General features: G+C 40.8%; 1 long non-coding RNA gene across 10 annotated transcripts in view; it reads left to right on the top strand.

Moving 5' to 3' along the window:
* The window catches only part of TNPO1-DT (TNPO1 divergent transcript), a 245434-nt gene that overhangs the window by 228228 nt on the left and 3406 nt on the right, over positions 1-13800 (top strand). For 6 of the 10 annotated variants that reach the window (NR_186516.1, NR_186515.1, NR_186511.1 and 3 more), the window contains one exon: positions 13469-13569. This is a non-coding gene — a long non-coding RNA (TNPO1 divergent transcript). Of the gene's footprint in view, positions 1-13468; positions 13625-13800 lie in introns of all 10 variants that reach the window. The other 4 variants (NR_186514.1, NR_186517.1, NR_186513.1 and 1 more) reach the window with 1 other exon arrangement.

The raw sequence follows: 13800 nt of genomic DNA, 5'->3' as shown, positions 1-13800 counted from the left end.
TAATGGAGAAGTAAGAAGATGAAAACATTCACCTCTTAGACTCCTTCGCCAGGAGTAGTGGTCATGTGACCCAGTTCTCGTCAATGAGATGGGCGTGGGAGTTGCTGGGTAGAGCTTCTAGGAAAGCTTTTAAAACGGACAGATGAGACTGGATGCCCATTCTGCCTTTTGCATTCTTGTCTTTCTCCCTTCTTCCTGCTTGGAACATAAACAGGAAGTCAGAAGGAGACTGGGTTGCCTGCTCCTCACTGCCTGCTCACTGGAGGGAAGAGCTGTATCTGCTGAAGCCATTTTCAGCATGGGGTTTATTGTTTGAAGTCAAATACAAGCCTAACTTTAGGACTTTTCAGTTCAGAGGATAATTCCTCAGCAGTGCTGTGGGCTTTAGTAGAAGTAAAACCACAACCAAAAACAACAACAGTATTGTATCTGTCTGCGTACCAATTTCCATTAGTAATTTTTAGGCAATGACATGAATTTTTTGGAGAACTGAAAGCCAGCCCTGTGAATGCAATGCAGGCGTGCTTGTCATCGGGTCCTTTACTCTCTTAATCTGGTGACAATTCTCTTCTCTGAAGATAACTTGCGACCAATTCCAGGGGATGTGTTTGAGAAGCAGGATTGTATTTTCCTTGCTGGCTCCTTGGAATAGTGCATCTGTTTTAGCTATCTTGAGATTTAGAATTTAAGTTCTTCCTGCTCCAAAGGATGCTTCTAAATGTATAAACATAAGATGACGTTTCTTGGCTGTATTGTTTTTACCTACAATACTTTGTTTTTTCTTGTAATCCTGGAAAATGAAGCAGTGATAACAAAGATTATTAATTCAGGCCTAAAAGAGAGGGAAGGAGAGAGAATCAGTGAGTGAAGAGCCTTAACTCCCTTATTATCTCCTGGGTCACATTGCCTGTTTTTCTTGCCAGTCCACATACATTTTGGACATTCCTTGCATATTCAAGGAAGAAGACAACAATATACAGTCTACATTGGTCAACAGTGAAGTGAATCACAACATCTTTCCTTGCTTTCTTTTTGTATTTTGGGCCCATAAAGAGGGTATATTATGATTGAGAGTCAACTTTTCTCCCTGCCAAGGGCCTAGGAGTATATGTTTGAAAGGTTTTTTTGTTTTGTTTAGTTTAGTTACTAAGCATACTTGGGATTTGGTTATGTTCCTTCTTGAGATATGATTTATTTCCTGGACAAATATTTATTAAACACTGTATTAGTAATCTATTGCTACATAAAAAAATTACCCCCCAAAACTTAGTGGCTTAAAACAAAAAAAAGCATCTATTATCTCACACAGTGTCTATGGGTCAGGAATCAAGGAGCAATTTAGCTTGGCCATTTAGTTGCAGTCAAGATCTTGGCAGGGCTGCAGTCATCTAAAGGTTTGACTGGGGCTGGAGAAGCCACTTCTAAGATGGTGCATTCACATGGCTGCGGGCAGGAGTCCTGCCTCAGTTCTTCACGGGCTGTTCACAAGAGGCCTCACTAGTCAGTGTTACTCTTTCCCGGCATAAGTCTTAATTGTGCTTGGCTCCATGCTCTGAGTTCTTGGTTCTACCCCCGAGTCATATTTGTTTTTCCATAAAAGGTAGACTGTATATGTAGCTGCAAAGTTTTCTCAGTTACAAGACAAAAGTGTAATTTTTTTGTAACTTAGCTTCAGAAGTCACAGACCATCATTTCCTCAAAATCTTATTGGTTGCATAAACTAGACCTATTCAATATTTAAAGAGACCACACAAGGGCATGAAAACCAGGAGGCAAGAACCACTGGGGCCATCTCAGAGGCTGATTATCACAAACATTTACCAAGGCCAAGGCTCTATGCAGGGCACACTGGGGACAGAAGACCAGGTTCTTTTTCTCAAGAAACTTATACTCTAACTGGGATGATTAGACACACACACACACACAAATAATGTGAAAAATATCGCTGACTTATATAACCAAATTGCTGTAAGGAAAAAGCACTCACTTGGTATATCTCTCTGTTTGTTTCTCCCACTAGTTTTTAAGCTCTTGGCAAGGCATTTCTCATCTTTATTCCCCACAGGGCTTAGTTCAGAGCCTTGCCAAAGTAGATCTTTAGTAAATATTTTCTGAGTGGACAAAACTCCATGGAAAGGTCAAGAAAGTCTGAAAACTAAGAATAGGTCATTGGGTCAAATGATTCAATTTTGATTATTTTAATTTTCTAGGAAAATAATTCCAGGAGACTCTTGGATTAAAATTGAAATTGCAAGGCATAAAGAAGGTGGCAAATTCGATCATTCAGCAAATTTGGAAGTAAAAGGGAGGGTGAAAATGGATTTAACTTGAGAGGAATTGGCCAACAGATTCTTTTTTTTAAAGTTTAAGTTTAAAGTTTTTTTAAAGTTTGAGTTTAAAGTTTTTTTAAAAGTTTTGTGGGCATTTTTCTAGCTAAGGGAGGAGTCATAAAGAGAAGAGAAAATGGAAATGAAGAAGAGAATGTTGATAACTGATGAAGCAATGTCCCAGGAAGGGTTCACAAGGACAAAAGGACTAGACATTGAAAAGAAAAGGAATATTTCTTTTTTGGAAAGGACAAAAGATAAAGAGACATTGTAGAGTGAAGAAAAGGGAAGCTTTGTTAGGTCATGTTGAATGGCCTTGATTTTTTTCAGTAAAGTTGGGGGAAGGCAAGGTCATTCTACAGACTGAGGGGATCCAGAAGGGGATGGATCCAACAATGGAATATGCAACAAACTATTGGAAGAAATTACAGCGTGAGTGACCCGAATACTCACTGGATGGCAGTGAGGGGCATCTGGGTTGGGAGAACCAGTATGCAGGAGGACACAATGTCCTCTATTACTACTGGAACCATGGATGAAAAATAATAGCTACCTACACAAATGGCCATAGCTGGGAACCTTGGGAGACAGTCCAGCAGGTTTCTACCCTGACTGAATGTTCTAGTTCCATGATATAATTTCTTTCTTTTGAAGATCACTAGGAACCTTGGGCTGAGAAGAAGTGGCATAATCTGCCACTTAAATGTGTGATGTGCAATGTGGAAAATATGGAAAGTGTTTTCAATCTTTCTAGCAATTCTTAACATGAGCACTTTAAGATTCAATTACTAATGAGCACTGCTTCAGATCATATAAATGATGTCAATACCCTCTTCATATTAGCCAATGTGAAATCAACACTTAATTCCCACGTTCTTCTGTAGGTAGGTCCTACATCAAACTACATAAAGACAATGGCATTTTATGGAAAACATTCTCAAATGGATAGGAAATGACTAGATTGGGGCTTAGGAGACCTAGTTCCATTCCAGCTCTGCCACTATCTCACCCTAGGCAAGTCACTTAATCACTTGCCTAGTGATAGAAAGATAGTAACCACTCATTTGTAAAGCTAGAAAACTGGATTAGATGCTCTCTAGTTCTTTCCAGCTTGAGCATTCCATGATTCTGTGGTCTCCAGTCCATCAAATCACCTAGATTTTCCCCTGTGAGTGCCACACAAGTTGTACACTAGGGGTCACATTTAGATAACCACTTACAAGCACATCTGTCTGAATCTCCTAAACACGCTTCATTTACTTCAATAGGAGGCTCTTAGTTAGATGATGATTGACCTAGTTTCTCAATACAAAGTCCTTAGATGGGATCATGTTATTTCCTTTTCTGGCTGGCTGAGAAATCTAGGGGAAAGTGAGAAACACGGGTTTCTCTGACTCAGAGACTTTCATTTTGGGTTAATGCTATTTTCTTTCTGTCACACATGACCTCAAATTAGGCCAGTCTTTTACTCATGGGGCAGATAGATTCTTCTTGAAGCTTTCATAGATTTCGTCCATGAATGCTCCTTAGCTGGATGGGTAGTGTTCCCATCCAGATCATGTTATTAAAAAATCAGAGTTGCCTTCAAGGAAAACCAGTTTTGATAGCTCCTCATTGAATGATCAATATTTCTTCCACAATCTATTTCATGGCAAAATGAACAGTATCTTTCACCATCTGTTTCATGGCTTATTTTGCTTTCAGGGGAAGTCAACCAGAGAGATGGGCTTCTTCCCCAATCTCTTTGCCAGAAGATCCCTGAAATCTTTCTTGACCATGTTTTAATTATAGCATTAGTTTGTCTAACTTAAGTCCAATTTTCCTCATTTTAAAGGTCAATTCTGAGGGAAATTAAAATGATTAGCCATCACAGGAAGTGATAATGTTATAAATAAACCTTACCAAACTTAATAGTAATACTTCCCTTCATCTATATGGCTTTACAGTTTTCCAAGGGTCTTTACATATATTATCTCATTTAGAGTATCAATTGTAGTTTTTCTTTCCCCTTTCCCCCCATATCTCCTTTGCCAAAAAATAAAACCCAAGAGGGGTATAGGAAGGAAGGGACAGCAGAGAAGTCCCAGTCCAGTCGGCCTGGAGAAATGGGTGAAACACTCATTTGTGGCGACCTGGATTGTAGCCCGATTCTGTTTCTTACCAGTTGTGTGTCTTTTAGCAAGTTACACTCACTCTCTGAGCCTGGATTTCCTCACCTGTAAAGTATGTATATGAATGCCCCCTCTACCTAGTTGCACTGCGTTATTACCATCCCTCTTTTCTCATTCTCTCTTGAAGCTTCTCCAATCAAGTTTTTGACCCTATCACTCCTCAACATTGGCTATAGTTGAGGGCACCAGTCTTGTGGCTTCATACAACATCTATATGTTGAAATACCTACATTTCTGTAATTTGGACACCTCCTTTAAACTTCAGACTCATATATCTAATTGCCCTTCCAGCATCTTACTCGAATGTTTGTTGAGTCTCCAGATGGAACAGATCCAAAACAGAACCCGTGAGTTTTCTTTTCTTTTTTTTTATTATTATTATACTTTAAGTTTTAGGGTACAGGTGCACAACATGCAGGTTTGTTACATATGTATACATGTGCCACATTGGTGTGCTGCACCCATTAACTCATCATTTAGCATTAGGTATATCTCCTAATGCTATTCCTCCCCCTCCCCCCATCCCACAACAGTCCCTGGTGTGTGATGTTCCCCTTCCTGTGTCCATGTGTTCTCATTGTTCAATTCCCACCTATGAGTGAGAACATGCAGTGTTTGGTTTTTTGTCCTTGCGATAGTTTGCTGAGAATGATGGTTTCCAGCTTCATCCATGTCCCTACAAAGGTCATGAACTCATCATTTTTTATGGCTGCATAGTATTCCATGGTGTATATGTGCCACATTTTCTTAATCCAGTCTATCATTGTTGGACATTTGGGTTGGTTCCAAGTCTTTGCTATTGTGAATAGTGCCGCAATAAACATACGTGTGCATGTGTCTTTATAGCAGCATGATTTATAATCCTTTGGGTATATACCCAGTAATGGGATGGCTGGGTCAAAAGGTATTTCTAGTTCTAGATCCCTGAGGAATCACCACACTGACTTCCACAATGGTTGAACTAGTTTACAGTCCCACCAACAGTGTAAAAGTGTTCCTATTTCTCCACATCCTCTCCAGCACCTGTTGTTTTCTGACTTTTTAATGATCTCCATTCTAACTGATATGAGATGGTATCTCATTGTGGTTTTGATTTTCATTTCTCTGATGGCCAGTGATGAAGAGCATTTTTTCATGTGTTTTTTGGCTGCATAAATGTCTTCTTTTGAGAAGTGTCTGTTCATATCCTTTGCCCACTTTTTGATGGGGTTGTTTGTTTTTTTCTTGTAAATTTGGTTGAGTTCATTGCAGATTCTGGATATTAGCCCTTTGTCACATGAGTAGGTTGCAAAAATTTTCTCCCATTCTGTAGGTTGACTGTTCACTCTGATGGTGGTTTCTTTTGCTGTGCAGAAGCTCTTGAGTTTAATTAGATCCCATTTGTCAATTTTGGCTTTTGTTGCCATTGCTTTTGGTGTTTTAGACATGAAGTCCTTGCCCATGCCTATGTCCTGAATGGTATTGCCTAGGTTTTCTTCTAGGGTTTTTATGGTTTTAGGTCTAACATGTAAGTCTTTAATCCATCTTGCATTAATTTTTGTATAAGGTGTAAGGAAGGGATCCAGTTTCAGCTTTCTACATAAGGCTAGCCAGTTTTCGCAGCACCATTTATTAAATAGGGAATCCTTTCCCCATTGCTTGTTTTTGTCAGGTTCATCAAAGATCAGATAGTTGTAGATATGCGGCATTATTTCTGAGGGCTCTGTTCTGTTCCATTGGTCTATATCTCTGTTTTGGTACCAGTACCATGCTGTTTTGGTTACTGTAGCCTTGTAGTATAGTTTGAAGTCAGGTAGCATAATGCCTCCACCTTTGTTCTTTTGGCTTAGGATTGACTTGGTGATGCGGGCTCTTTTTTGACTCCATATGAACTTTAAAGTAATTTTTTCCAATTCTGTGAAGAAAGTCATTGGTAGCTTGATGGGGATGACATTGAATCTATAAATTACTTTGGGCAGTATGGCCATTTTCACGATATTGATTCTTCCTATCCATGAGCATGGAATGTTCTTCCATTTGTTTGTATCCTCTTATTTCACTGAGCAGTGGTTTGTAGTTCTCCTTGAAGAGGTCCTTCACATCCCTTGTAAGTTGGATTCCTAGGTATTTTATTCTCTTTGAAGCAATTGTGAATGGGAATTCACTTATGATTTGGCTCTCTGTTTGTCTGTTATTGGTGTATAAGAATGCTTGTGATTTTTGTACATTGATTTTGTATCCTGAGACTTTGCTGAAGTTGCTTATCAGCTTAAGGAGATTTTGGGCTGCGATGATGGCGTTTTCTAGATATACAATCATGTCATCTGCAAACAGGGACAATTTGACTTCCCCTTTTCCTAATTGAATGCCCTTTATTTCCTTCTCCTGCCTGATTGCCCTGGCCAGAACTTCCAACACTATGTTGAATAGGAGTGGTGAGAGAGGGCATCCTTGTCTTGTGCCAGTTTTCAAAGGGAGTGCTTCCAGTTTTTGTCCATTCAGTATGATATTGGCTGTGGGTTTGTCATAGATAGCTCTTATTATTTTGAAGTACGTCCCATCAGTACCTAATTTATTGAGAGTTTTTAGCATGAAGGGCTGTTGAATTTTGTCAAAGGCCTTTTCTGCATCTATTGAGATAATCATCTGGTTTTTGTCTTTGGTTCTGTTTATATGCTGGATTACATTTATTGATTTTCATATGTTGAACCAGCCTTGCATCCCAGGGATGAAGCCCACTTGATCATGGTGGATAAGCTTTTTGATGTGCTGCTGGATTCGGTTTGCCAGTATTTTATTGAGGATTTTTGCATCAATGTTCATCAAGGATATTAGTCTAAAATTCTCTTTTTTTGTTGTGTCTCTGCCAGGCTTTGGTAACAGGATGATGCTGGCCTCATAAAATGAGTTAGGGAGGATTCCCTCTTTTTCTACTGATTGGAATAGTTTCAGAAGGAATGGTACCAGTTCCTCCTTGTACCTCTGGTAGAATTCGGCTGTGAATCCATCTGGTCCTTGACTTTTTTTGATTGGTAAGCTATTAATTATTGCCTCAATTTCAGAGCCTGTTATTGGTCTATTCAGTGATTCAACTTCTTCCTGGTTTAGTCTTGGGAGGGTGTATGTGTCAAGGAATTTATCCACTTCTTCTAGATTTTCTGGTTTATTTGCGTAGAGGTGTTTATAGTATTCTCTGATGGTAGTTTGTATTTCTGTGGGATCGGTGGTGATATCCCCTTTATCATTTTTTATTGCGTCTATTTGATCCTTCTCTCTTTTCTTCTTTATTAGTCTTGCTGGTGGTCTATCAATTTTGTTGATCTTTTCAAAAAACCAGCTCCTGGATTCATTAATTTTTTGAAGGGTTTTTTGTGTCTCTATTTCCTTGAGTTCTGCTCTGATCTTAGTTATTTCTTGCCTTCTGCTAGCTTTTGAATGTGTTTGCTCTTGCTTCTCTAGTTCTTTTAATTGTGATGTTAGGGTGTCAATTTTAGATCTTTCCTGCTTTCTCTTGTGGGCATTTAGTGCTATAAATTTCCCTCTACACACTGCTTTGACTGTGTCCCAGAGATTCTGGTATGTTGTGTCTTTGTTCTCGTTGGTTTCAAAGAACATCTTTATTTCTGCCTTCATTTCGTTATGTACCCAGTAGTCATTCAGGAGCAGGTTGTTCAGTTTCCATGTAGTTGAGTGGTTTTGAATGAGTTTCTTAATCCTGAATTCTAGTTTGATTGCACTGTGGTCTGAGAGACAGTTTGTTATAATTTCTGTTCTTTTACATTTGCTGAGGAGTGCTTTACTTCCAACTATGTGGTCAATTTTGGAATAGGTGTGGTGTGGTGCTGAAAAGAATGTATATTCTGTTGATTTGGGGCGGAGAGTTCTGTAGATGTCTATTAGGTCCGCTTGGTGCAGAGGTGAGTTTGATTCCTGGATATCCTTGTTGACTTTCTGTCTCTTTGATCTGTCTAATGTTGACAGTGGGGTGTTAAAGTCTCCCATTATTATTGTGTGGGAGTCTGAGTCTCTTTGTAGGTCACTAAGGACTTGCTTTATGAATCTGGGTGCTCCTGTATTTGGTGCATATATATTTAGGATAGTTAGCTCTTCTTATTGAATTGATCCCTTTACTATTATGTAATGGCCTTCTTTGTCTCTTTTGATCTTTGTTGGTTTAAGGTCTGTTTTATCTGAGACTAGGATTGCAACCCCTGCCTTTTTTTGTTTTCCATTTGGTTGGTAGGTCTTCCTCTATCCCTTTATTTTGAGCCTATGTGTGTCTCTGCATGTGAGATGGGTTTCCTGAATACAGCACACTGATGGGTCTTGACTCTTTATCCAGTTTGCCAGTCTGTGTCTTTTAATTGGAGCACTTAGCCCATTTACATTTAATATTGTTATGTGTTATGTGTGAATTTGATCCTGTCATTATGATGTTAGCCGGTTATTTTGCTTGTTAGTTGATGCAGTTTCTTCCTAGCTTTGATGGTCTTTACAATTTGGCATGTTTTTGCAGTGGCTGGTATCGGTTGTTCCTTTCCATGTTTAGTGCTTCCTTCAGGAGCTCTTGTAGGGCAGGCCTGGTGGTGACAAAATCTCGCAGCATTTGCTTGTCTGTAAAGGATTTTATTTCTCCTTCACTTATGAAGCTTAGTTTGGCTGGATATGAAATTCTGGGTTGAAAATTCTTTTCTTTAAGAATGTTGAATATTGGCCCCCACTCTCATGTAGAGTTTCTGCTGAGAGATCAAGCTGTTAGTCTTATGGGCTTCCCTTTGTGGGTAACCTGACCTTTCTCTCTGGCTGCCCTTAACATTTTTTCCTTCATTTCAACTTTGGTGAATCTGATAATTATGTGTCTTGGAGTTGCTCTTCTCGAGGAGTATCTTTGTGGCGTTTTCTGTATTTCCTGAATTTGAATGTTGGCCTGCCTTGCTAGATTGGGGAAGTTCTCCTGGATAATATCCTGCAGAGTGTTTTCCAACTTGGTTCCATTCTCCCTGTCACTTTCAGATACACCAATCAGATGTAGATTTGGTCTTTTCACATAGTCCCATATTTCTTGGAGGCTTTGTTCATTTCTTTTTATTCTTTTTTCTCTAAACTTCTCTTCTTGCTTCATTTCTTTCATTTCGTCTTCCATCGCTGATACCCTTTCTTCCAGTTGATCACATCGACTACTGAGCCTTGTGCATTCATGACGTAGTTCTCGTGCTGTGGTTTTCAACTCCATCAGGTCCTTTAAGGACTTATCTGCATTGGTTATTCTAGTTAGCCATTCGTCTAATTTTTTTCAAGGTTTTTAACTTCTTTGCCCTTGGTTCGAACTTCCTCCTTTAGCTCGGAGTAGTTTGATCTTCTGAAGGCTTCTTCTCTGAACTCGTCAAAGTCATTCTCTGTCCAGCTTTGTTCCGTTGCTGGTGAGGAGCTGTGTTCCTTTGGAGGAGGAGAGGTGCTCTGATTTTTAGAGTTTCTTGTTTTTCTGCTCTGTTTTTTCCCCATCTTTGTGGTTTTATCTACCTTTGGTCTTTGATGATGGTGATGTACAGATGGGTTTTTGGTGTGGATGTCCTTTCTGTTTGTTAGTTTTCCTTCTAACAGTTGGGACCCTCAGCTGCGGGTCTGTTGGAGTTTGCTGGAGGTCCACTCCAGACCTTGTTTGCCTGGGTATCAGCAGCAGTGGCTGCAGAACAGCGGATATTGGTGAACCACAAATGCTGCTGCCTGATCGTTCATCTGGAAGTTTTGTCTCAGAGGAGTACCCAGCCATGTGAGGTGTCAGTCCGCCCCTACTTGGGGGGTGCCTCCCAGTTAGGCTACTCAGGAGTCAGGGACCCACTTGAGGAGGCAGTCTGCCCATTCTCAGATCTCAAGTTGCGTGCTGGGAAAACCGCTACTCTCTTCAAAGCTGTCAGACAGGGACATTTAAGTCTGCAGAGGTTATTGCTGTCTTTTGTCTGCGCCCTGCCCCCAGAAGTGGAGCCTACAGAGGCAGGCAGGCCTCCTTGAGCTGTGGTGGGCTCCACCCAGTTCGAGCTTCCTGGCTGCTTTGTTTACCTATTCAAGCCTGAGCAATGGCGGGGGCCCCTCCCCCAGCCTCGCTGCTGCCTTGCAGTTTGATCTCAGACTGCTGTGCTAGCAATGAGCGAGGCTCCGTGGGCGTAAGACCCTTGAGCCAGTTGCAGGATATAATCTCCTGGTGTGCCGTTTGTTAAGCCCGTTGGTAAAGCGCAGTATTAGGGTGGGAGTGACCCAATTTTCCAGGTGCCATCTGTCACCCCTTTCTTTGACTAGGAAAGGGAATTCCCTGACCCCTTGCTCTTCCCAGGTGAGGCGATGGCTCACCCTGCTTCGGCTCACGCATGGTGCGCTGCACCCACTGACCTGCACCCACCTTCCGGCACTCCCCAGTGAGATGAACCCGGTACCTCAGTTGGAAATGCAGAAATCAGCCGTCTTCTGTGTCGCTCATGCTGGGAGCTGTAGACTGGAGCTGTTGCTATTCAGCCATCTTGGCTCCACCCCCTCCCTGAATTTTCTTTCTTCTCCCCTCAACTGCTCCCCTTGCAGCCTCCCCATTTTAGTTGATGGAAACTCTATTCTTCCAGTTGTTCAGGCCAAGAGCTTTGGAGTCATCCTGGATTCTTCACTCTCACATCTAATTTATTAGCAAATTCTATCAGCTTCACCTTCAAAATATATCTAAAATTTGACCAATTCTCATCACCTCTGTTATTTACCACTCTGGTTCATGCTACCATTCCTGCCCATCTAGAGTATCTTAATTGTTTCCTTACTGGCTTCCCTGTTTTCACTCTGGCCCCTGTAATGGTTAATTTCATGTCAACTTGGCTAGGCTATAGTTCCCAGTTGTTTGGTTAAATATGTCTAGATGTTGCTATGAAAATATTTTTTAGATGTGACAGACATTTAAATCAGTAGACTCTGAATAAAGCAGATTACCCTTCATTATGTAGGTAAGCCTCATCCAATGAGTTGAAGATCTAAATTATTAGGTGAGCCTCATCCAATGAGTTGAAGATCTTAAGAGTAAACATTGAGGTTTCCTGGAAAAGAAGGGATTCTACCTCCAGCTTGCAACATATGATTATCACATATACAAATGTAGGAGTTTCAGCATATAGATGTGGTATTAAGTCACAAGACTGGTGGCCTCAACTATGGCCATTGTGGAAGAGGACCTGATGGGGTCAAAAGCTTAACTGGAGGGGCTTCAGAGAGAATGAGAAGAGCGGGGTGTAATGAGAAATTCTGCCTGAGTTTCCAGCCTTTGAACTCAAAACAGCAACATCAATTCTTACCAGAATCTCAAGCCTGCTGGCTTGCTCTGGGGATTTTCGACTTGCCAGCACCCCCAGTTGTATGAGGCAATTCTTTAAATCTCTCTCTCTCTTTCTCTTACGTTATTTCTTCTATTAGTTCTGTTTCTCTGGAGAACCCTTCCTTCCTTCCTTCCTTTCTTTCTTCCTTCCTTCCTTCCTTCTTCAGTCTTGCTCTGTTGCTCGGGCAGGAGTGCAGTTCTCTTCATATAGCAGTCAGAGGGAGCTCCTTAAAATGAAAGTCAGTGCATAATTCCTTGATAAAAAACAAACAAAAAACCCTGTTCTCCTGGCCTCTCATTTCAAACAGAGCAAGAATCCAGGTATTTACAATGGCTTGCAAGTCATCTGGCTTACCCATTCCTTTTCTAATATTGTCTCCTATTCTCCTTTTCAAGCCAGTTCAAGTTAGACAGTGTTGTTGTAAGGATACAGCAGGAAATATCATGGACACATGTGGATGATACAAAGACAGGAAACAAATTACATGTCAGAGGCCTAATGGGAATTGGAATTGGGAACTGGAAAGTTGAGGATCATGGCTACTCTTTCTGTCTCTCAGGACTTTACAGTCTCTCCTTGCCTTGCTTCCCCTCTGCCCCGCTATGTATATTCTCTTCTCTGCTCCACTCTGCTCGCTGTCTTGCAGACGGCTTCCAAATGGATGACTGATGGATTGACTTTGGTCCAACAAGTATTTAGTGAGTGCCTAATATGTGTCAGTCACTGTTCTAGGCCCTGTGAAGAAGGCACTGAAGAAAACCAACAAAAATGATTGCCTTTCTAGGGCTTACGTTGTAGGGTGTGTGAGTGAGTAGAGAGTGCAGAAGTTAGAGGGGAAATGCAAAATAAACAAAATAAATATGCGAACTATACATATGTCACATTGTTATTAAAAACTGTTTCAAAAATAAAGCAGGGAAGAGGAACAGAGAACATTGGAGAGGTGCAATATTTATCAAGGTGGGAGGGAAGGTCTCATTGAGATGACCCATAAAAAAAAATCTGTGTGAAGTAAGGAAACAAGCAAGGAGAAAGGGTGGCTGGGGAGAGTAGAAGGAGTGAGGTTAGATTGCTGAGTGGTAGAAAGTGGATTAGGAAGGGCCCTGAAGACCATAAAGTTTCTGGCTTTTATGTTGGGTGGCATGGGGAATTCTTGGAGGGTCTTGATCAGAGGACTTCCATGGTCTGACTCACATTTTAACAGGATCACTCTGGCTACTATGTTGAGAATAGATGGTAGGGAGACAAGAGCAGAAGGAGGGATTCCATTAAAGAGTCCATTGAGAATGATAGGGACAGCTTGGCCCACAGTGGAAGCAGTGGTAACCTTCCACTATTCTGGTGTGGGCTGGAGTGGATTCTTTGTAAAGGGTTTGTGGAATAGATAAGGAAGAGACCAAAACATGACCAAAATATGATTAAGGTCTGCTTTGAATAACCCTCCAGGTGGCTGACGCACTCTCTGTGAGCAGATGATCACCAAATTTGATCACTAAAGATTCATTTTTCACCCACTGTCCCGACTCCCTGGGGTATTTGACAGCACTTGTTCTACATGAGGAAACTAAATTTTAACATAATTCGTTCAATGAATTATTTAACTAGAAAGGAGCCTTAGCATCTTTCACTGACTTTTATCTTTATTCAGAAATTAGTTGATAACGTCTTCCAGGAGACCTACGGCCATCCTACTGATATGAACCAGATCATACCTGCCCTGATGGGATGCCAGAGAAAGACTGCTGCAAGGTACGCGCCACTCACAGACCTCTCCATTTATCTCACTGATGCAAAGGACCCTGAGGTAATTTTTGAAAACTTTTTTTCCTGTCTTAAGAAGATAAATGAAATGAATTGAAATGTTGGAAAACTTATTAAGATAGTATGAGGATTATAGTAAATGGAAAAATGAGATAACCTCTAGGAATTTCACTCTGGAGTACTCGTCTATCCATTTAACTCACTGTGCCTCTTCCTTTT

Source organism: Homo sapiens, chromosome 5, assembly GCF_000001405.40.
Source record: "Homo sapiens chromosome 5, GRCh38.p14 Primary Assembly".
NCBI lineage: Eukaryota > Metazoa > Chordata > Mammalia > Primates > Hominidae > Homo > Homo sapiens.
This window is presented reverse-complemented; position numbering and strand designations above follow the sequence as displayed.